Consider the following 23765-nt stretch of genomic DNA (forward strand, 5'->3'; position numbering starts at 1 on the left):
TTAGCTTTTAGCTTTTGAGTTTCCAAAGTTTAGCCCAATGGGAATGGAAAGAAGTCAAAACATATACAACATTGAGTAACAGCCAACTCCTCCTGCCCTTTAAGCTTCTCACTCATTGCTGCCATGATGAGAGGAAGTCCTATCAGCCACATGCCAAGATCCACTAGAAGAGAATCAAAGGCCTTATCAGCCAAGCCCCAGTTGAGCTCCCAACCAGCATTTAGCCAGGCTAGTGAGGACACTTGGAAACTTCCAGACATCCCAATGCTCCAGCCAACATCACATGAAACAGAAGAGCTATGCGGTGGACCTACAAAATCGTAAGAAGAGATATATCACTAATGATTCATGCCATTGGGTTTGAGTGTAGTTTTTTAATGCAGCAAATAAATAAATAAAACTGTGTAAAGATGCTGGTGAAAACCAAGACTTTGATGAACGCAGAGGAACAATCTAGGAGCTCAGGTCCAGCTTGATAGATGATGGAGACCACCTCACATCTGCTCACACCATAATAACTGTGCAGGTCATCCAGGGGGGTTACTAGAAAACCAACATGGATTTTGTGGGGACACAAAAGACAGTAACTGTGAAATTCAGCCTGCAGACGTCTCTTCAAAAGGAAGCAGTAGATTGGGGGCACCATTGCCTCCAAGGCTGTGTGCATTGACACCAAAGACAGTTCCCTCTCTGACTGGCTGGCCTTTTAAAACGACCTCTGATTGTTATGCATAAGCTTTTGGGTAATGCTATCATGGATAGTACCCGGAACCTGATGGACGTGACATTTTGGCCTTCTCTCCTGATGGTTCTGTAGCCTTTCTTAGACTTCTCCAGGGATGAGCTTGAAGATCCCCCAGAGTGATAAGAAAGTCACATTTTTAAGTTCACTTATATTAACAGTTCAGCCACAGTTAGCTACTGAAGTTCAAATTTCTGTGACCACTTTGGAAAAAAACAAGATCCTAAGAGGATGGCAGAGAGAAGATCCAATGCCTCTATCAAAGTAGCAAGGATGGCCAACCGGGCAAGTACAGAGGACATCACAAAGAATCTTGGAACAACAGGTTGGCTCACAAATGGCAGAAGATCAAGGAAGAATTAAACCCATCTGCACTGCCCAGATGGTCTCTGAGTTCTCCACACATCTGTACCAGCCCCTCCTGCCACATGGAGTCCTGGCAGGCTGTGAGCTCTCCTCTCACACAACTGGCTCTAACATCCTGCAGTGAAGTGGCACCAACTCCCTCAGGCCCCCAGACTCTCGCAGGGCCTCCAGCACTGCCTGTCCCTGTGAGTCCCTTAATCTCTTGTTGCAGAATGTGGCCTTTCAGCCCACAATACCAATTCTTGACAAGAGCAATGCTTGAGGGGGCTTTGAATTTTCCTCACTCAGGAATTTAACTCTTTTTTGAATGTAATCTTAGACAAAGTCATTTACTGCTGAGAGCCACAGGACACAATGGGACCAGGTGTAGGAATGGTGACTTTCCACAGGGCTCCTTGAGGAAGCACCTGCCAGCTCAGATGATCAGAGGCAGCTTCTGCTTTGTCTCTGAAGGACGATGGGGTTAAGGCTCTCAGCATTAACCTTCAACAGAGCCACATTGTGCCTGATAGGTGTGGATCTATCTTCAAAGGAGAGAACCCAAAGGGCCACTGTGGTTTTCAGGGGAGAAAGCTGCAAGATTTGTGGCTTCCGTGCTAACATGCAGAATCTGGCTTCCCAGAGCATCCTTGTCTGATCTCAGCCTTAACATCCTTGGACGCTTTCCACTACAACCCTAGACTAGATCCTGGGAATATTCCCAGGATGATGTGGCTCTGTATTGGATCACAGCCTACTTCCACAGAGTTCTGGGGGCTGAGGGGGTTGTGGAGTGAGTAAGGCCAGATCCCCTCAGCACTTTGCTCACCAGCACAGCTCAGCTTTCAGGAAGAGACATGGTCCTGTCCCTGAACAAGGCAAAGCTGTAACCATTAGGTGAATGACCACATGTAGATGAAAACTATTAAGGTTTTATGCAGCTAAAAATCTGACCCAGGACCTGTGTGAAAAGGAAAAACTGTTTCAACGCTGGCTTTTTTTCTGTCTGCTAGAGTTTACTGCCTCATAAAATGGCATTTTCCCTGGGTAACAGCTGAATTGGAGTCACTTGTAGGAAATTTAAATTCTAATTGTGATAATTAGGTTGTAAAATAAGCATAGCAACATTAACTTATCCATTATATTTTGTTTTCAATTTTTAAATGGTTACAAAATTAGCCTTAAAAAACTGTTATTTTCAATTCTGGGGGTACATGTGCCGGTTTGTTATCTGGGTATATTGCATGTTGCTGAGGTTTGGGGTGTGTGTGATCCTGTCACCTAGGAAGTGAGCATAATACTCAATAGTTTTTTTTCTTTGTTTTTTGTTTTTGTTTTGTTTTGTTTTCTGATGGAGTCTTGCTCTAGTCGCCCAGGCTGAAGTGCAGTGGCATGATCTCAGCTCACTGCAACCTCTGCCTCCTGGGTTGAAGCTATTCTCCTGCGTCAGCCTCCCGAGTAGCTTGGATTACAGGAGCCTGCCACCATGCCCAGCTAATTTTTAATTTTTTTAGTAGAGACAGGTTTTCATCATGTTGGCCAGGCTGGTCTCGAAGTCCTAACTTCAGGTGATCCACTCTCCTTGGCCTCCCAAAGTTCTGGGATTACAGGCATGAGACACCACACCTGGCCAATAGTTTTTCAATGCTTGCCGCCGTCCTTCCTTCCCCCATTTTGGAGTCTCCAGTGTCTATTGTTGCCATCTTTATGTTCATGTGTATCCAATGGTTAGCTCCCACTTAAAAATGAGAACATTTGGGTTTCTGTTCCTGCATTAATTCACTTAGGATAATGGCCACCACTGCATCCACATTGTGGCAAAGGACATGATTTTGTTCTTTTTTATGGCTGTGCAGTATTCCATGGTGTATTTGAACCACACTTTCTTCATCCAGTCCACTGCTGATGGGCACCTGGGTTGATTCCATGTCTTTGTAAAAATAGACTTTTTTTTTCTAAAAAGAGGCAAAATTGGTGTGCAATTCTCAGTGAAATTGTGAAATAAATGGACACTGTATTGACACTGACCAAAAGTAAAATCTAGTGATGGGATGTGCTAGATGAGGGAGTCCTGGGGGAAGGCACAAGGGCCCGAGGACATGAGGAGAGTGGAGTGGTATGCAGCGAATTCTCTTGTGCTGGAGGACAGGGAGCAGCCCTCTTGCCGACCTCACCTGGAAGTCTCAGGAATTTTCCATCCCCAGGTCCCCAGGCAATGCTGGGAGGCCTGTGAAAACTTCCAGGTTGGAGCAGAGGGCAGGGCCAGCCACACCTGGGGTGGGTTATGAGAGGAGAGAGAAGGGGGGAAAGGTGAGTACAGCCATCGTAATGATGCAGGTGCCTCCAGCCAGATCCCGGTTCTCACGGGCAGCCGGTCTCAGCCTAGCTGACGTCGACCCAGAATCCCACGCTCTCGGCTTCCACCCAGCCACTGTTAGGCACGAACAGGGCACCCCAAAGCTCTGCATGTCTCTGAAAAGAACCCCATTCCCTGCCCCCAGCCCTGAAGCTTCGCAAGCACTGACCTTGTTGAGGCCACGGAGGCATCTCCTTGTGCCCTCTCTCCCATGTGACTCCTATCCACAGGAAGGCCTAGACTCCATGTCACCCCAACATGTGAAGCCCCTCTGCTACCCTGACCCCACCTCCCATCACCCTCGACTTTTGAAACACTGCCACCACACCCTTTGGGATCACAGTCAGTTTTAGGTAAAATCCTTGTATCCTCAGCCACCTCTCTGATGGGTCCCTTTACTGTTTTGCTGCTCTGAGGCCTCTGCCTCTTATGGCCCCTCGAAGGGGCAGCTGTTTCCTCTCCACATCCCACATTGGTTTTGGGTGTGCCCCTCACAGTGACTAAAGACCGTGTTTCCTCTTCCCTCTACAGTCCTCACATTCTCAGACTACCACCCACCACCCCTCCTTGCTACGTCCCTTTATGCATCACTGAGTTGAGCTCCTCTCATCTCTCAATAAGGTTAGCACCTCTTCCTTGACACAGTCTGTTCAGTGCCATCCTCATGAGGCTCCTTGGTGAGTCAGTGACCACAAATGCCCCCTCCAATCCCCTGGCCTCCCTTCCCTACCTTCCTCTCCTCCAGTAACCAGTTCTTCACCTCCTGCAGCCTCTCCTTCCACCATGCTCTGCCCTGTGTCCAGGGCCACCACCCCTCCACGATCCCAATTGCAAACTCTCTACCCTCTCACCATCTCTTCCTTTGTTCCAACACTCTTAGTTGACTATCCCAGATTCAAGACTTCTTTGATGCTCTTTTGACTTTTTGTTTTCCACTTGGCTTCAAGGGCCCTGCACTCTTGGGTAGAATTTGGACAGATCTAGATACCTGGGGAAAGTTTTAAAGTTGTGTATGTGGAAAGATCGGTGGGGAAGTGGGGGTGATTGGAGAGAGTGAAGATGGAGCAAAGAGCTCACAGAAAGGGTCAGAGAAACATGTGCTCAGTTTGCCATGAGATTGAGGCCCGCCTACCTGAAATTAAGAGAAAACAATCTGATAAGCTTGAAAAAGCCCAATGTAATCAGATTAAATGTAGGGACCTGTGCAAGATCCAATTCAACAATAAAGCGTTCCCTGACTATTCTAGTATCTGGGGCATTTTTTATCCACTCAACCTCTTTCATTTATTAATCATCTAATGTGTTTCAGATGCTGTGCTAGGGCCTGGGCAAAGCCAGACAAGAAGTGGTTCCTGCTATCAGGCTGACTAACATCTATCAGAAAGAACAGATCACGGTACTTTACATGATCATAGAGTTATATGTGGGGTCGTGAAATAAAAGTGATCATCTAAATCAGACAGGGAGGTCAGGAACGTGTCCTGAAGAGATGCTCTGGCTGAGTTCTGGGGGAAAATAGGAGTGTAGTGGATAGACCAGACTCAGAATGCTGGCCATTGTCACCCCTCCCTCTAAGGCAAGCTTCCTCTCACCCATGGCCCTGTTGGCATGAAGATTGCATTGCAGCACCCAAGCCCCCAGCCCATCTCCAATTTGCAGCAGCCACAGGAGGGCAGCACCCATCACTAAAGCCTGGTTCTGAAAACAGACAAGCCGACTGCATGGTGGTTCCAAAGAGTTTAAATAAATCAGCAGAGAGAGATGGAGCACCCATCACTAAAGCCTGGTTCAGAAAATGAACAAGACTACTGTATGGTGGCTCCAAAGAGTTTAAATAAAGCAACAGAGAGAGATTGAGTCAATGGAGGGGTCAGAAGCTCGGAAGCGCTATGAGATAGAGGCTGGGCAGTAGTGAGCCATGACTCTGAAGAGCTACCATGGTGATGAAACAGAAATGCAACAGCAGACGGAGCCAGTAGGAAGAGAGAAGGGAATGGATAGGCCATACAGAGAGAATCACGGATGCCACCAGGGAGGTCCTGGGCCCAGGGGAGACATGGAAGGGAGGAGGACCTGGTGTGGTCACTACACCTTTTAATGCCAGCTTCAGTCCCCAAGTGTCATCTCTCTCTCTCTCTCTCTCTCTCACACACACACACACACACACACACAGACACACACACAGTCACACACATTTTTCTAAGTCTAAACGACCCAGAAAATATACTTCCAAGTATATAACCAAAGAAAAATTTCACATATATGTACAAGGAAACAAGTATAATGATGTTCATTGGAAAAAATGTAAATATTCAGCAGAGAAATCAGTAATTAATTGTGATATAGGTATGTGTTGGGCTACAATTTAGAAGTAGAGTGAACCAGTATTCTAGATAGATGGATAGACAGACATATAAATATGTGACATATATACACACACAGACACATCATATACTTTGTATACACATATACATGGACAAGGATAAATCTTAAAATGATAAAATTTAAAATGACATTTAATATATACATAATACCATTTATATGCATTGAAAACAATAGTATGTTTTGCTTGTTCTGGATACAAAAAATACAGACATGTAACTGTTACAAAAATTAAAGTTTACAATATAGTAGTTGCTTCAAAAGATAATGGAATAACTTTGGTGAGACAAATTAGTTGTTCATTTCAAAAAGTTTAATTTATGTTTTATTTAATAAGAATTCAACCAAATGTGACCAACAAAATTGTGAATTCTTGTATATTTAATGAATAGAGGGAACAAATGAATAGAGGGAAGGTGAGCAGAAAGGAGGCAAAAAGAAAGTGCAGTTGTCTGGACAACAAAATCAGAAACAAAAGCACGAATATGGAGAGGGAGAGATGAAATATAACTGATAACAAAAAGAATTAATATGTGTTGGTGAATGTCTGAGGGTGGGACTCAGTGAGAAGGAGACGTGCACTTTGGCTCTGGGCTTTCTGGCTGGTACTGATGCTGATAACATGGAATACAGAACAGGGAGCGGGTTAGGGGAGGAAGGTGATGAATCTGACTTTGAAAGTGCTGAGTGTGAAGGTCCCATGTTTCATCCAAGTGGGTGACGTGTCATGGGTACCGCAATGCTAGGGACAGAAATAGGAACCATTTGCATCAAAGTTGCAGTTGAAGCCATGTAACATGGGGCACCCAGGGAAAGTACACAGAGTGACAAGAACAGATAGTAAAGGATGGAGCCTTGTGCTATGAATGGACTGAAGATTGCCAGAAAACGAGCTTGTGAGGTGGGTGGTAAGAAATAGTGCCGGTGCCATAGAAGAATGGAAGTACAGAGGCCCAGGAAAGCAAGTACCTTAAGGCATAAAACTTTTAACAAAAGTCAGAAAGAAATATGAATACATATTTATTGGATTTGGAGGTGCTGAGGATGAGCCACAGGATCCCCCCCTCTGGTCACTCTTAGCCATTGGCCTCTGTGCCCCCCTTCTTTGTGTGACTCCATGAAACCATGCAGTTCAAAGCCCCAGGAATGAAGGGGTTAAGCGGATGACTTCTTTTTATGTGTCCGGTCTTTTCTTTCTTCATTCCGGGACATTTTTCATGAGCATTCCTTCCCTTATTTGTTGATGTTATTTTAAACATCTTCTTTAAGTAGTGATATAGCCTGGATCTGTGTCCCCACCGAATCTCATGTCGAATTATAATCCCTAATGTTGGAGGTGGTGCCTGGTGGGAGGTGATTGGATCACAGGGGCGGTTTTTCCTGAATAGTTTAACACCATCCCCCTTGGTACTGTCGTGGCAATAGTGAATGTGTTCTCGTGAGATCTGGTTGTTAAAAGTGTGTAGCGTCTCCCCCTGGCCCCTCTGTCTTTCTCCTGCTCCCGCCGTTTTTGACGCTTCTCTCCTCCTTTACCTTCTGCCATGGTTATAAATTCCCTGAGACCTCTCCAGAAGCTGATGCTGCTTCCTGTACAGCCTGCAGAACCACAAGACCATTAAAACTCTTTTCTTTATAGATTACCCAGTCTCCGGAATTTCTTTATAGCAATACGAGAATGGCCTAACACAAGTAGGAAAGTATTATGGGTTGGATTCTTCTCCCTTTAAAATGCTTATCTGGAAGTCCTAATCTCCAGAACCTCAGAATGTGACTGTATTTGGACAGAGGGTGTTTAAAGAGGTCATTATTCTCAAATGAGGCCTTTAGAGTGGGCCCTAATCCAGTACAACTGGTGTCCTTTTAAGAGGGAGAGACACCAGGCCTGTGCGTGTGCAGAGGAAAGGCCGTGTGAGGACACAGGGAGAAGGCAGCCATCTGCAAGCCAAGGAGAGAGGCCTCAGGAGAAATCAAACCTGCCAACACCTTGATCTTCAACTTCTAGCCTCCAGAGCTGCGAGAAAACACATTTCTGTTGTTCAAACCACCCAGTCTGTGATGTCTTGTAATGGGAGCCCTAGCAAACCAATGTAGGAAGGATGTGGAAGTTCTGCTAGTAGCCATGTCTGCCTGGCTGTGTCTGTTATGAATGTGCTTGTGTGTCCTGGAGGGAGCGATGTGTGCACAAACTAAGGTTGCAGATCCGGTCACACTCTCAAAACCAAAGGGGACAGAAGTAGGAGATGAAGTCAGGAAGATTAAACTCAGGGACCAGATCATGTAGATCATTTTAAGGATATCTCTGTTGAAACGTCTTTAAAAGTTGCAGTGTCTTGGCTTGATAAGACTACTGGAAAAACAGGAAACATGAACAAAAAAACTAACCGAGTTCATTTGAAACAGCATCCATCCTCTTGCCCCTGCAGAAAGGTGAACAAAAGGCAAATGACACAAACCTGAAATGCTAGGCAGAGGAGTTTTGATGATGTGATACAGGAGACAGTCCAGGTGTCTGAGCATGAATAACTGAAGAGCGGGTGTTATTTGAGGAGGATCAAGAAAGGTTGGGAAGCAGGTGGGGGAAGAGAACATTCCCAATCTCAGCTTACTGTCATGCCTTCCTGCCTCCTACCTCCTGTCACATCAGTCCTTCCTGTAAACACTGGCAGAGGAGCCCCTGGCCCTAGTGCCACGTTCTAGAAGATGCTCTCTGCCCTTCTCCAGCCAGGCTGGTCACCACTAGGTGATGATTCCAAGGGGCCAAAGGGCCATGTCCCCCAGAATCCATGCACCTCCTTCTAGACCACACCCTCCAGTACCTGGGACCCTGGAATGATCTACTCCTATAGTCCCAAGCCCACTTCCAGCATCACTGCCTGCCTCTTTCCAGGGTCCACCTTCTGGAGGGCCAAGCGGGCTTCTGGGGTGTGCTCCGCAAGCTGAGGGGCTGGAGGGCTGCAGTAGAACTTGAATGTGAAGCTGGGATGTCCACCCATCATTAGTCACCTCTCCAAGCAGGAGGGAGCCAGGAGTGAGAAGAGAAGGGGCAAGGTCACAGAGTGGGGTAGTGGAGGCTGGTTCTCCTTGTGAGGTGATATTCTGGTACTTCACACGGAGGAACCCAAGTTCTGAATTCAAACGTTGTATTCCATGTCCTTAGGAAGCACTGTTTGCCAAGGTAGGAGGACAAAACATATTCTATGTAACAGTGTGGAGCTCAATTTATAACTTTATATGTTGGACATATGGTATGTGGCTTCCATTTATTTGTGCTTTTTTTTTTTTTTTTTTAGATGAAGTCTCACTCTTGTTGCCCAGGCTGGAGTGCAGTGGTGTGATCTCGGCTCACCACAACCTCCACCTCACAGGTTCAAGCGATTCTCCTGCCTTAGCCTCCCGAGTAGCTGGGATTACAGGTGTGCGCCATCATGCCAAGCTAATTATTGCATTTTTAGTCGAGACAGGGTTTCACCATGTTGGCCAGGCTGGTCTCGAACTCCTGATCTCACGTGATCCGCCTGCTTTGGCCTCCCAAAGTGCTGGGGTTACAGGCCTGAGCCACCATGCCCGGCCCATTTGTGCAATGTTGAGGGCAGCATGCTCTCCATCTGGGCTTCTCTTCTCAGCCACTGACTCCAAAACCAAGACCCTGTTAGGGTCGATCCTAATGATTCATTTTCCCTTGATTTTATTTCATGGTGTCTAAATTTGTCCTGTCCTCCTTAAAGCATTAAATGGTAATCTTTTCATTTAAATGTTTCAGAATGTTTCAGAAAAAGCATTGTATTTGTGACATTTGCCTTTTGTTCACACGTCTGAGAAGGAAAAATGATGGATGTCTTTTGGTATTAACTCAATGATGTGTCATTTGTGTTCTGCTTTTCTATTTTTCCAATATTCTATCAAGCTATACTGTAACATCATTTTTCTTCTGATCTTAATACCACAATGATCATATTTAAATAGAGACATTTATCTAAGTTTCAATTAATTCAGAGGCATTAGGACAGGCAATACACTCTATTCTCTTCTCTCTCTCAGGTTTGCAGTTGTATGTGCAGTAACTGAGTTTGGTCAGCAGATGGCAGTGAACATCTTGTCAGAAAGAAAAATAATTATTTAGGTTGCGTTAAAAATAAAGAGCCAGAGACAGAAAACACAGGACCTGTGGAGAAGCAGACGTGCTACAAAACACTGCCTTTCTTGCAGGAAAGAGCAATGCACACTTTTTTCTTTTTCTTTCTTTCTTTGCCACATCTCACTCTATCGCCCAGGCTGGAGTGCAGTAGAAGATCTTGGCTCACTGCAGCTTCTGACCCCTGGGTTCAAGCAAATCTCGTGCCTCAGCCACCCGAGTAGCTGGGATTACAGGCGCCCGCCACCACGCCAGGCTAATTTTTTGTATTTTTAGTAGAGACAGGGTTTCGCCAATATTGGCCAGGCTGGTCTCGAACTCCTGACCTCAGGTGATCCACCCGCCCCGGCCTCCCAAAGTGCTTGGACTACAGGCGTGAGCCACGGCGCCCGGCCCAGTGCACTTTTTTTTATGGGATCCATACGTAGCAAGTCCTTGCTTCATGCACCCCTTTCTACCCAACCCTGCTTACTTATTCAAGAGAAATTGTGTGCATGAGATGTTAAATTAATGGCACACTCAGATTGGGGAATTCTGAGACAGGGAGGGTGAAGCTGGGGTGACCTGGAGTGCAGAAGTCTGGTCCTGCCTCGCAATCCCCAGGGAGGGCCGGGCTGCTGAGTGGCACGATCTGCCCCTCCAGATGCCCGGCTCTGACCCGCTTCCTGCCGCAGCTCCTTGGCTGGGCCTCCCTGCTGCCCTGTATGCTTGGGGCATCCCAGGCTGGCTCCAGGCTCCAGAACCCAACCGGGGTCTCCCGCCCGAGCAGCCCTGCGTGGCCTGCGAGGAAGACAGCTTGTTTAACCCGTGCAGCCTCATCTCCCGGCTGATCTGGCGGTTACCATGGCAACCCCCAAGGCTCCTCAGGCATTCTCACTGACTGACCAGGCTTGGAAAAACCATTCTGGAATGGACGGAGGTATATTTGGGGGGACATTTTAATGAAAGAGCAGCTTGACCTAGTTTTAATGCAGCACCATGAAATGGCAGGGACTTGAGGTGTGACTGAATAGAAAGGGATAGCTGCTGCCAGGAAATGGGAAGGTCTCCCAGGCTGAAGAGAGGTAGAGCAAGGGAGGGCTTCGACCTTTGCTATTTCCTCATCTTCCAACAAGAAGAGCTCAATCCCCAGCCTGGCCAACATGATGAAACTCTGTCTCTACTAAAAATAAAAAAATTAGCCGGGTGTGGTGGTGGGCACCTATAATCCCAGCTACTCAGGAGGCTGAGGCATGAGAATTGTTTGAACCCAGAAGGGGGAGGCTGCAGAGAGCTGAGATTGTGCCAGAGTGAGACTCTGTCAAAAAAAAAAGAAAGAAAGAAAGAAGAGCTCAACTCTCAAATTAGTGGGGCAGTTCTCCAACGTGGGAAACTATGGGCTCCATAGAGTGCAAAGACCTTGCTTTATGCACCCCTTTCTACTCAACACAGCTTACTTGGGGAAATGTCAAACAAATGCAAAAATAGAGAATAATTCTGTGTGTGTGTGTTTTTTTTAAGAGACAAGGTCTCACTATGTTGTCCAGGCTGGTCTCGAATTCCTGGCCTCAACCATCCTGTCTCAGCCTCTTGAGTTTATGTTTTAATAAAGACATAAATGTAAGATTATCGTAATTCTGTAAAAAAAGGAAAACAAAACAAAAAAAATGCCTTCTTATTGGAAAATCTGGGGGGAGCATTTCTGACAATTTAGAGCTAACATTTAGCTGTACTGTTCATATTAGGTTTTCCAATTTCCAAAGGCTACTGTAACAGGCAGTCTCTAAAAGACCCCCAGGGACACCACCTCTGCCCCTGCCCTTGTTATCCCTCCCCTTCAGTATGGCCTGGACTTAACGATTTGCTTCTAATAATGATTGGAATACACAGGAAATGATGCCGTATCATCCCATGTCACTGCAATCTCAAACTGCCATTTCAGGACAGGCAGACAGCCTTGGGAGAGGCCCACGTGGTGAGGAACTGAGACCTGCCAGCAGCCAGGAGAGAGGGCCGGGAAGTGGCCATTTCAGCCCCACTAGAGGCTGGAGATGACCACAGCCTCACCCGGCAGCCTCACTGTAACCTCATGAGGGACCCAGAGCCAGAGGACCCAGTTGGGCTGGGCCTGGAGTTCCATTCCACAGAAGCTATCAGAAAACAAGTGTTTTGTTGTTCTGTTTTTTTGAGATGGCATCTCGCTCTGTCGCCCAGGCTGGAGTGCAGTGGCGTGATCTTGGCTCACTGCAACCTCCACCTCCTGGGTTCAAGCGATTCTCCTGCCTCAGCCTCCCAAGTAGCTGGGACTACAGGTGCCTGCCACCACCCCCAGCTAATTTTTACACTTTTAATAGAGATGGGGTTTCACCGTGTTGGCCAGGATGCTCTCGATCTTTTGACCTCGTGATCCACCTGCCTCGGCCTCCCAAAGTGCTGGGATTACAGGCATGAGCCACCGTGCCCGTGTTTGTTTTTTTAAGCCATTGTGTTTGGGGGAATTTTATTACACAGCAGTAGTTAATGCATAGAGCCATTTGTTTTTTCTCTTGCTTCCATAGTTCAAACTGTTGTTACGAGTGTGTCATAACCATTTGGTTATACCTGATTCCAGGCTTCATCATTTACAGCTGTAAGTGATATAAGGTAAGTTACCTGGCCTCTTTGAGCCTCAGTTTTCTCATCAGTAGAAAATATATATATTGTTTAAGGATTAGATGAGGCCCATGCAGTGGCTCACACCTGTAATCCCAGCACTTTGGGAGGCTGAGGTGGGTGGATCACTTGAGGTCAGGAGTTCGAGATGAGCCAGGACAACATGGTGAAATCCCATCTCTACCAAAAAATACAAAAATTAGCCAGGCCTGGTGGTCCCAGCTACTTGGGAGGCTAAGGTGGGAGAATCGCTTGAACCCGAGAAGCGGAGGCTGCAGTCAGCTGAGATCGTGCCACTGCACTCCAGCTTGGGCAACAGAGTGAGACCCTGTCTCAAAAAACAAAACAAAACAAAAAAAGATTAGATGAGTAGATACTTGTAAAAGTCTTAGAACAAACCTAGCTCCTAGAAAAAGGCTTAGTAAATTAGCTATTCTCATTATTATTGAATGCAAATAATTCATATTTCTATACAACTATTTTCTCTATGTCTATATCTATAATTTGTCTTTAGTGACTGATTTCTCCCTCCAGATCAACAAAAACTAGCAATGAAATGGGAGATGTCGTCTGAATTAAAACTGTGCAAATGTAACCTAAGTGGCTTGCAGAGGTACTGCAATCCTCACATTCCAAAGATGTACTAGTTGGTCAATTCTTACAGCCTGTGGCTCCCACTTTCTTTCACTCCATATCCATTCCAGACATATTTGCCTTATCTATTCTTAAAAATTATGGGCTGTCCATGAAACATCTACCTGATATCTATACATCCTCCTTGCCATCCAGGTTTGCTCTCCTCTGGACACAGGCTGTGGGGCTCAAATCTAACTGAAGGTTTAAGACAGAATTCACAGCATTAGAGAAGATGTACGGGGCCTCTTCCCAGATGCCAGTCTTACACTGTCAAGATTAACTTTTAAAAATAAACGCGACATCTGTATCTGTTCTCTCTTGGTGTCACCACAATGTGCGTCCATGATAGAGAAAATTCGTGGACTTATGAAGTGTGTTCCCTCCTGATACAGTTTGGCTGTGCTCTCCAAATCTCATGTTGAGTTGTAATCCCCAGTGTTGGAGGTGGGGCCTGGCAGGAGGTGATTGGATCACGGGGCCAGATCTCTCATGGCTTGTTGCTGCCCTCACGATAGTGTGTTCTTGGGAGATCTGGTTGTTTAAAAGTCTGGCACCTCCCCCTTCTCTCTTTCTTGTTCCTGCTTTCACCATGTGACATTCCTACTACTCCTTTGCCTTCCACCTTGATTGTAAACTTCCTGAGGCCTCTTCAGAAACTGATGCTGGTCCTGTGCTTCCTGTACACACAGTAGAAGTGTGAGCCAATTAAAAATTAAACCCCTTTTCTTATAAATTACTCAGTCTCAGGTATTTCTTTTTTCTTTTTTTTTTTTCTTTTTTCTTTTTTTTTTTTTTTTTTTTTTTTTTGAGATGGAGTCTCTCTCTGTCACCAGCAGGCTGAAGTACAGTGGTGTAATCTCGGCTCACTGCAACATCTGCCTCCTGGTTCAAGCGATTCTCCTGCCTCAGGCTCCTGAATAGCTGGGACCACAGGCACACGCCACCGCACCAAGCTAATTTTTGTATTTTTTAGTAAAGACAGAGTTTCCCCATGTTGGCCAGGATGGTCTGAATCTCTTGACCTCGTGATCCACCCGCCTCAGCCTCCCAAAGTGCTGGGATTACAGGCGTGAGCCACCGTGCCCGGCCTCAGGTATTTCTTTATAGCAATGCAAGAATGGCCTAACACACCTCCCTCACGAGCTAATAAATCCTAACATATTATGTGTCAATTGCAGGTCTCAAATTCAGGTTTTTGCTGCTATTGGCAGTGGCTTGTTGCAAATATTTATTGAAGATTTCAAGAGTAGTAACTGAAAAACCGTATAAGGTAGGTACTATTAGACTCACTTTCTGAATTAAAACAATGAAGGCACAAGGATTTCAAGTCACTTGCTCAACAACACACAGGTAAAGAGGCAGAGCTGAGGTACTAAATTTGGTAGTCTGTGAACAGAATCTGCATTCTTATTCACTAGAGGAGACAGGTTCTCCGGGATGTTTTTCTAAAATGCCATCTCATTGAATTGCAAGCCCGCACTCCACTAGATTGCAGAAACTTAATCTCAGTCGAAAGCCATGGTGTCCGGCGTGACCCATGTTTCCTAGGGTCATGACTGAGTTAGTTGGGAATATAAACAGTGCTTTGGGATCCGGATGAGGAATCTGGTCCTCAGCCCATCAAACCATGAAAGTTGTTGCCACGTTGTTCCTACAGATGGCACTCCTGCCTGACTTCACCCAAAATCTTTTGGGTGCTTGAGAAACACCAGTCAACCCCAAGGGCTGGTGTTTGGGAGACTCTGCAAGACCATCTCCTCCTAACTCCACTTATGCACAGATCTACTCATGTTTACTCTAGCTCTGCATCCTCGGCTTTCCACGGGAAGGGGACCTCAGGGAACAGGACTTCCAAGACCTTATCTCACCATCCTCACTTGACCTGATGGAAGAGGTTGGATGGGATCAAGGGGGCACTCATGTAGCAGCCAGGATCATAGCCCTACGTGTTTTTATTGCTGCTGCCCACACCCTTGAAACCCAGATATGCTGAGAGAGGCCCTGTCTTTTCCTGGATTCCCATTTACACACCTATAACAAACAGGGCTGCACCATAAAGCCCCTCTCTAAGGTTTTATGTGAGACAAATACAGGCTTGAGTGTGGTTCAAAGATGTTTTGCTGTAAGATTTGTCAGTTTGGATTTTAGCCTGAAGTTACTGGGTACTCTGGAGATAGTTAAACCTGAAAGGCTTGGGAAGGCAATGGTTTGCTTGAAAAGAGACAAGAAAATGAAGAAAGAATGAGCCAAAGAAGAGGGAGCAGAGGTCAGGTGTGGTGGCTCATGCCTGAATTCCAGCACTTTGGGAGGCCAAAGAAGGACTGTCTCTTAAGCCCAGGAGTTTGAGACCAGCCTGGACAACACAGCAAGACCCCATTTCTAACCAAAAAAAAAAAAAAATATTAGACCCCATCTCTAACAAAAAAAAATTATAATATTAACCAGGCATGGTGGCACTCTCCTGTAGACCTAGCTACTTGGGAGGCTGAGGCCGGAAAATCCTTTGAGCCCAAGACTTTAAGTTACAGTGAGCTAGGGTGGTGCCTCTGCACTCTAGCCTGGGCGACAGAGCAAGACCCTGTCTCTAAATTAAAAATAAAAAAAAAGAGGGGGAAGAAAAGAATTTAAAAATGGGAGGGGAACCACTTAACATCTGTTCAGGGATGTGGCTGTCTCACTGGCACCAATGAGATTAATATCATCACCATCACCTTCATCACTACCATTTTGCATGCGTCATCTCTAATCACATGCCCAGAGGTCAAACACTGGTGGCCCGAGGGTGGAGTAAGCATACCAGGGCAGGCAGTGACTACCTCACAGTAGTTCCCACTGACCTCACGTCCCTCATGTAGGTACCAGCCAGGCCCCACTGGCATTGAAATGTATAGACTCAGATGTGTTGGGCGGGCCTAGGTAGAAATCTCACTTGAAGGCCACAGTGTATTTATCATATACATGGAGTTATGATGCATCTCTGCCCAGGAATAGAATTCAAACAAGAGTCTTAGAAATGCACTGAAGTGAATGAAATCCAGGACCTTAGGGCTGGTCACCCTGAGTCTCAGCATTATGTCTTCTTCCACCACCTGTTTCCTCTATTGTAGTCTTACAAGTGAGCTGGGGCCAGTGGTCGCTTAATCCTCCCCTCTCCTCTTGATGCTGCCTCCACATCCTCACCCCTCCTCAACAGCAAAAACGAAATGACCACACAGCTCCCCAGCTGGTTTTGTGTCTAACATTTTATCCTAAAGTTTTGAAAAGAAAAAGAAAAGAACCTGATAATTTCTAAATGAGGTAATTCATTTAGGCACTGACAGCCATTCATGCATCACTGTGAATTCATTTACCAAATTAATCAATCAATTTAGTCCAATAATCAGATCAAGCAGGCAGCAGACCAGTTTGCTCTGGTTTGATTTATTAGATGACTAGAAAGATCAGACGATTAGATCAGATTAATCAAATGCTTTTTACGAGCATCCACAGAACAGAAAAGGTCTTCCCAGGACATCATGAGCTAAACCGAGTGTGCTGGGGGACTGGGCTCTGGAGAGGAGCTGCTTGGGGTTCTAGGCTCCCACTTTGCTCAGGTTTTACAAGTCCCGCATTGCAGAGGCACAGCTGAGCAACCCAGTTACCGGACATCTGTGTTAGTTTCCTGTGGCTTCAGTAACAAACTACCATAACCTTAGTGGTTTAAAACAACACAGATTTATTATCTCATGGTTCCAGAGGTCAGAAGTCAAAAATGGGTTTTACGGGCTTAAATCAAGGTGTGGACAGAACTGCATTCCTTCTAGAGATTCCAGGGGAAAACCCATTCCTTCCCTTTTCCAGCTTCCAGAGGCCACCTGCATTCTTCGGCTCATCACTCTGATCTTTGCTCTGCCATCAGTCACATCTCTCGCTCCCCGCCTCCTGCCTCCCTCCTTCACTTTTAGGGATGCTTGGTTCACACTGGGTCCATCCAGATAATTCAAAATCATCTCTCATCTCAAGAACCTTAGCTTAACCTCCCTGCAAAGTTCCTTTTGCCACGTAAAGTAACATATCCACAGGTTCCAGATCAGGATGCAGACATCTTTGGAGGACCGTTATTCGACTTCTTACAACAATCCAAGGCCATCACCAGGTTTTCAGAAACCAAGATGGCCTGCCTGGTCCCTTCAATACACCCCTGTGCTTGGAGACACTGAAAGGCCTCATGGGATACAACCACACACTGCTGGTTCTGCCACAGCTCTTAAAATTAAAGTAGTCTGCCTGCATTAAAACCTGGCTTCCAGAAAACTTCTGCTATCATGGAAATATATAACCTGGGTGGATAAATAGCATGCTTCCAACAACGCTTATTGCCTATCATTAGGGAACGATAGGCGGGTTTATCACATTTCCTGTGATTAAGAGGTGCCATAATTAATTACCTGTTGGGAAGGGACAAGGTGATGATGCTTTGAACTTGGGACTGGAGGCCCAGCTCCGGACTCCAGAAAAGATGAAAAGCATTGAACTCACAATGGTTACTTCTTCCATGAAACATGTTAGCTGGAGATAGAATCCAGTAACAAACTCAGCTATATTGAATGTGTGTGTGTGTGTGTGTGTGTGTGTGTGTGTGTGTGTGTGTGTGTATGTGTAAAATCTTGTGTTTTTCTTATGATTTACCTCTACCAACAACAGTGCACTGCAAAAGTCCAAGGCTTGGAACTGGGGATACAGTCTAAGGGTAAAAATAAAAATCGTCTAATATATGCTATGTCCTGAGTGAGTGGGAAATAATGTGGCTGTTAAAAGCTGACTGGGTCTTCAAGGAAGTTGTATTAGTGCATTTGGGGGGTCATAACAAAGTGCCAGAAATTGAGTGGCATAAAACAACAGAAATTAATGGTCTTGCAGTCCTGGAGAGTAGAAGCCTAATCAAGGTGTGGAAGGGGAAATTCCTTCGGAAGTGTCTTGTGGGGGCTTGCAGACAGCCGTCTTCTCCCTGTGTCATCACGTGGGCCTCCCTCTGAGTGTCTGTGTCTTATTATAAAGACACCAGTCATATGGGATCAGGGCCGACCCTGGTGGTCTCCTTTTACCTTGATTACCTCTTTGAATAACTTTTCCAAATACAGTCACACTCTGAGGGACTGGGGTTAGCACTTCAACGTATGAATTTTGGAGGGCACAATTCAATTGGTAACAGAAATGTAGGACTGAGCAAAGCAAAGACGAGGAGGCAGCAGAGGTGGAGTAGAGTGGAATGCACAGATATATGGCAGAGAAGGCTTGAAAGGGGCTGGAATTTGGGCAAAGAGATTTTGTTTTTGGGTTTTTGTGTGTGTTTTCTTTTTTTTTTTTTCTTCCTTGAGACGGAGTCTTGCTCTGCTACCCAGGCTGGAGTGCAGTGGTACAATCTCGGCTCACTGCAATCTCTGCCTCCTGGGTTCAAGCAATTCTCCTGCCTCAGTACCCCGAGTAGCTGGGACTACAGGCGCCAGCCACCACTGCTGGCTAATTTTTCTATTTTTAGTAGACACAGGGTTTCACCACGTTGGCCAGGATGGTCTTGATCTCTTGACCTTGCGATCCACCAACATCAGCCTCCCGAAGTGCTGAGATTATAGGCATAAGCCACCGTGCCCAGCCCAAATATAGTTCAATCTACTCTTAGGTAAGGGAAAGACACCAAACACAGACAGACTGGATGACAATAAGGAGGCTCTGTGCTGCCTCTAGATAAGTCACTGATAAAAGCTTGGTTTCAGGGTTTCTAGGTCTTCTTTCATCTACACTCTGCTTGTCATAGCACTCATAGTGCACTCACTGTATTAGTCTGGTCTCACACTGCTAATAAAGACATACCCAAGACTGAGTAATTTACAAAGAAAAGAAGTTTAATTGACTCACAGTTCCATGTGGCTGGGGAGGCCTCACAATCATGGTGGAAGAGCAAGGGACGTCTTGCATGGCAGCAGGAAAGAGAGCGCTTATGCGGGGGAACTCCCCTTTATAAAATCATCAGATCTCGTGAGATTTATTCACTATTACAAGAGCAGCATGGGAAAAACCTGTCCTGGTGATTCAATTACCTCCCACCTGGTCTCTCCCACAACACGTGGGGATTACTACAATTCAAGGTGAGATTTGAGTGGGGATGTAGAGCAAAACCATATCACTCACATTTCAATAGTACCCAGACTATGTCTGTTTCCCTCCATGACTAAAAACTCTAACCTTCCATTGTGAGGCAAACAGTCAAAATGAAGGAGATACGCAAAGTTTCCCACTTTACTTCCTTAGGGACAGAAAACTCTGACGTAGATAAGTGTTGTCCTAAAACCTCTCCACCTTAATTTCCTCATCTATAAAAAGAGTGGATATCCTGGATGATTCTAAAATTGTATTAATTAGTAGGATTGGAAACTCAAATCTACTTATGACTCTAGAGAAAATTATTTAACATATGCTTCCCAGGGAAATATTAAATTAAAATCATGGCTACATAATGACTAAATACCAAATGAGGATATCTATCAATAAAAAGAAAGGCAATTAGCAACATAATCAATCGACATACTGTTTATGTTTTATTATGAACATGAACCAGTTCCTTAAGTCAATTACTGCCTGCATTATTTTGCTAGGGCTGCCATAACAAAGCACTGCAAACTGTATGCTTAACAGCAGAAATGCATTGTCTCATAGTCCTGGAGATCAAGGCATTGGCAGGGTTGGTTCCTTCTGAAGATGTTAGGAAAGAATCTGTTTTCGACCTCTCTCCTAGCTTCTGGTAGTTCCCTGGCTTGCGGCTGAATAACATGTCATTCTCCCTGGGTGCATTTCTGTGTCCAAATTTCCCCTTTTTATAAGAACACCAGTCACATTGGATTAAGAGCCCACCCTACTCCAGCATGACCTCATCTAACTAATTACATCTGCAATGACCCTATTTCCAAATAAGGTCACCATTTGAGGTACTGGAAGTTAGGACCTCAACATATGAATTTAGCAGGGGACACATATAAACCTATAACACCACCTGTCAGTGGATTAAAAAAAATAATGAGAACATTTAAGTCTCTCACTGTATCAGTCTGTTCTCACATTGCTCTAAAGAAATACCTGAAACTGGGTAATTTATAAAGAAAAGAGGTTTCATTGGCTCCCAGTTCCACAGGCTGTACAGGAAGCATGGTGCTGGCATCTGCTTAGCTTCTGAGGAGGCCTCAGGAAACTTATGATCACAGCAGAAGGTCAAAGGGAAGCAGTCACGTCTTACATGGCAGGAGCAGGGCGAGACAGAGTGGGGGGAAGGTGCCGCACACGTTTCAACAACAAGGTATCCTGAGAACTCACCATCATGAGAATAGCACCAAGGGGACGGTACTAAAGTATTCATGAGAAATTCACCCCCCTGATCCAATCACCTCCCACCGGGACCCACCTCCGACACTGGGGATTACAATTTGACATGAGATTTTGTGGGGACACAGATCCAAACCACATCACTCATCCTGTCCATTTTAAAATAGAGACTCAGTCAACATGTACCTACACAGTAGCCTCCTCCTCTGTCCACAGTTTCACTGTTCATGGTTTCTGTTACCCACAGTCAACTGCGGTCCAAAAATATATAAGTAGAGTACAATATGATATTTTGAGAGAGACAACACATTCATATACATGTTATCACAGTATATTGTTATAATCGTTCTATTTTATTATTAGCTATGGTTGTTAATTTCTTATTGTGCCTAATTTGTAAATTAAACTTTATCATAAGTATGCATGTATAAGAGAAAAACATACAGTAGTATATATAGCATACTATAGTCATGTATATGGCATTCAGCATTATCCATGGTTTCAGGCATCCACTAGTGGGCTTGGCACATACCACCGTCAGATAAGGGGGGATTACTATATTTTCTGTAATGTTACTCTTAATCAGTAATTAAATCAAAAGCATTTTTTAAAAAGAAAACTTTCTAAGTCAACTAAAGAAAAACTCTTGTTCTCCTGTATGTCTTCTTCTATATGTCATCATAAAAATTTGCCTCTAGAACCTTTCCAGTCCTTCTAGCCTATCTGTTTTTGCCCCTCCAACTCAAGTATACGTGATGTTTAGAGGTTATTTCCAGAATGTTTTCCACTTAAGAGATCCTTGAAGCAACAAGTTAGACTGCCTGTAATGATTTGGGTGTCTGCAATGTACCCGCAGGGAAGAGAACCAGTCCTTGTTGGTAGCTCAGAGTAACCCCAATTTCAATGTGTTTGGTAAATGTGATGGAAGTCTCCAAAATTGCAGTCTAGACTCACTCAGCAGTCTCCAGAGCACATGTTTATAACAAAACAAATACAATATTTTTATATTCCTCTTTTATCTTGCAGTAAACATTGACAGGACATACTTTTCTTTCACCCTTCTTCAGTTTTAATTAGCTTTTACAGACCATAATAGAGCTGTAAACACCATGTGACAGCAGTAGCATTTTCCACTCACTTAAGAATTCAAGGCCAGGCATGGTGGCTCACGCCTGTAATCCCAGCACTTTGGGAGGCCAAGGCGAGTGGATCACCTGAGGTCAGGAGTTCTAGACCAGCCTGGACAACATGGTGAAACCCCGTCTCCACTAAAAATACAAAAATTAGCTGGGCATGGTGGCACGTGCCTGAAATCCAGCTACTGGGGAGGCTGAGGCAGGAGAATCGCTTGAACCCAGGAGGCAGAGGTTGCAGTAAGTCCAGATCGCGCCATTGCATTGCACGCCAGCCAGTGCAACAAGAGCGAGATTCTGTCTCAAAAATAAATAAATAAATAAATAAATAAATAATAATTCAAGGTGGCCTCAAAGAATCCCTGCAATTTAGGGAAACCATAGTTTAATATGAACCTTTAAAGGAGAAATATACATTTAGCATTTGGGACTATTACTTGAAGTCTAGTTTGAAGATGTCTACTATTCTGAATGTTTAATAACTGATTTCTTACGGGCATACAATCAATTGAAATATGAAAAGGCCTGTCTAGATGGAAAAAGTATCTTTTAAAGCTGTGGGGACATCTTGTGGCCAATTTTATTAAAGTTTTTTTATTATTTTATTTATTTATTTATTTATTTATTTATTTATTTATTTATTTATTGAGACGGAGTCTAACTCTTGTTGCCCAGGCTGGAGTGCAGTGGCACAATCTCAGCTCACTGCAACCTCTGCCTCCCAGGTTCAAGCGATTCTCCTGCCTCAGCCTCCCAAGTAGCTGGGATTACAGGTACATGCCACCATGCCCGGCTGATTTTGTATTTTTAGTAGAGATGGGGTTTCACCATGTTGTCCAGGCTGTTCTTGAACTCCTGACCTCCAGTAATCCACCCACTTTGGCCTCCCACAGTGCTGTGATTATAGGCGTGAGTCACTGTGTCCAGCCAAGATTCTTTTTAATGAGATAACAGTTGATCCTCCTCCATGTGGGTGCATCCTGCCTCCGTGGATTCAACCAAACATGGGTCAAAAATATTTGAAAAAAAAATTCGCCTGTACTGTTTACATATAGACTTTTTCTTCTTGTCATTATTCCCTAAACAATAAGTATAACCATTACTTACATCGCATTTACATTGTGTTAGGTATTATAAGTAATCTAGAGATGACTTAGAGGATTTGGGAGGATATGCGTAGGTTATGTGCAACACTACATATTTGCAAACATTACTATTTTCCCTTTTGTCTACACACCCACAAATAAACACTTAAAAAGACAACATTTTACAATGGTGTAGAATTTACATTTAAGGGACTTGAGCATCTGTGGATTTGGGTATTCGTGGGAGGTCCTAGAACCCCCCACAGACACCAGAGGATGACTGTATTTTGACTGAACAAATATAGGGAATGCTTACAGTAGGTTAGTATAATTGTGCTATATGCAAGGAGAATAAAGATAAAACACAAGCTGTTTTTTGAGGAAGCAATCAGAATAGAAAGAGCCTAAGCTATTTAATATGGCCAAACCTCATTTTATTTACTTATACAGAAGAAATCCAGGTATCTTCTTTCAAAAAAAAAACAGTTAAAAGTACAGATGTCATGAACACCTGTGGCTTTCACCTGTTTTCCATACAGCCTGCATTCCTTAGTACCCGCGCCTCAGTTTTACTTTAGAGACCAACCAGCACACACTCTGTCCATGTGTTAAGGTGGGACTGCTGGTCAACTCCTTTGGCTCCAGGTCTATCTAATCCATGTATTCCTTTTTTTTTTTTTTTTTTTTTTTTTTTGACGGAGTCTCACTCTGTTGGCCAGGCTGGAGTGCAATGGCGCAATCTTGGCTCACTGCAACCTTCACTCCCTGGGTTGAAGCAATTCTCCTGCCTCAGCCTCACGAGTAGCTGGGATTACAGGCATGCACCACCACACCTGGCTAAGTTTTGTATTTTAGTAGAGACAGGGTTTCACCATGTTGTCCAGGCTGGTCTCAAACCCCCAACCTCAGGTGATCTGCCCTCCTTGGCCTCTGAAAGTGTGGGGATTACAGGCATGAGCCACTGCACCCG

General features: G+C 44.8%; 1 long non-coding RNA gene and 1 pseudogene across 2 annotated transcripts in view, besides 1 other annotated feature; both read left to right on the plus strand.

The window, feature by feature from the left end:
* LINC00836 (long intergenic non-protein coding RNA 836) overlaps nucleotides 1–23765 on the plus strand; it is an 81224-nt gene that overhangs the window by 39403 nt on the left and 18056 nt on the right. The window contains exon 3 of one of the 2 annotated variants that reach the window (NR_108067.1): nucleotides 4753–4839. The exons of the other annotated variant lie outside the window; for it this stretch is intronic. This is a non-coding gene — a long non-coding RNA (long intergenic non-protein coding RNA 836). The remainder of the gene's footprint in view (nucleotides 1–4752; nucleotides 4840–23765) is intronic. 2 annotated transcript variants of the gene reach the window in all.
* Nucleotides 425–1214, plus strand: HIRAP1 (histone cell cycle regulator pseudogene 1; annotated as a pseudogene).
* Nucleotides 2977–3477: an enhancer, noted in NCBI's record as "H3K4me1 hESC enhancer chr10:25983020-25983520 (GRCh37/hg19 assembly coordinates)". NCBI's record gives its function as "activates a minimal SCP1, AML or CMV promoter by ChIP-STARR-seq in primed H9 embryonic stem cells {active_cell/tissue: H9 hESC(primed)}" and the evidence as "EXISTENCE:reporter gene assay evidence [ECO:0000049][PMID:30033119]".

This window comes from Homo sapiens, chromosome 10 (assembly GCF_000001405.40).
Source record: "Homo sapiens chromosome 10, GRCh38.p14 Primary Assembly".
NCBI lineage: Eukaryota > Metazoa > Chordata > Mammalia > Primates > Hominidae > Homo > Homo sapiens.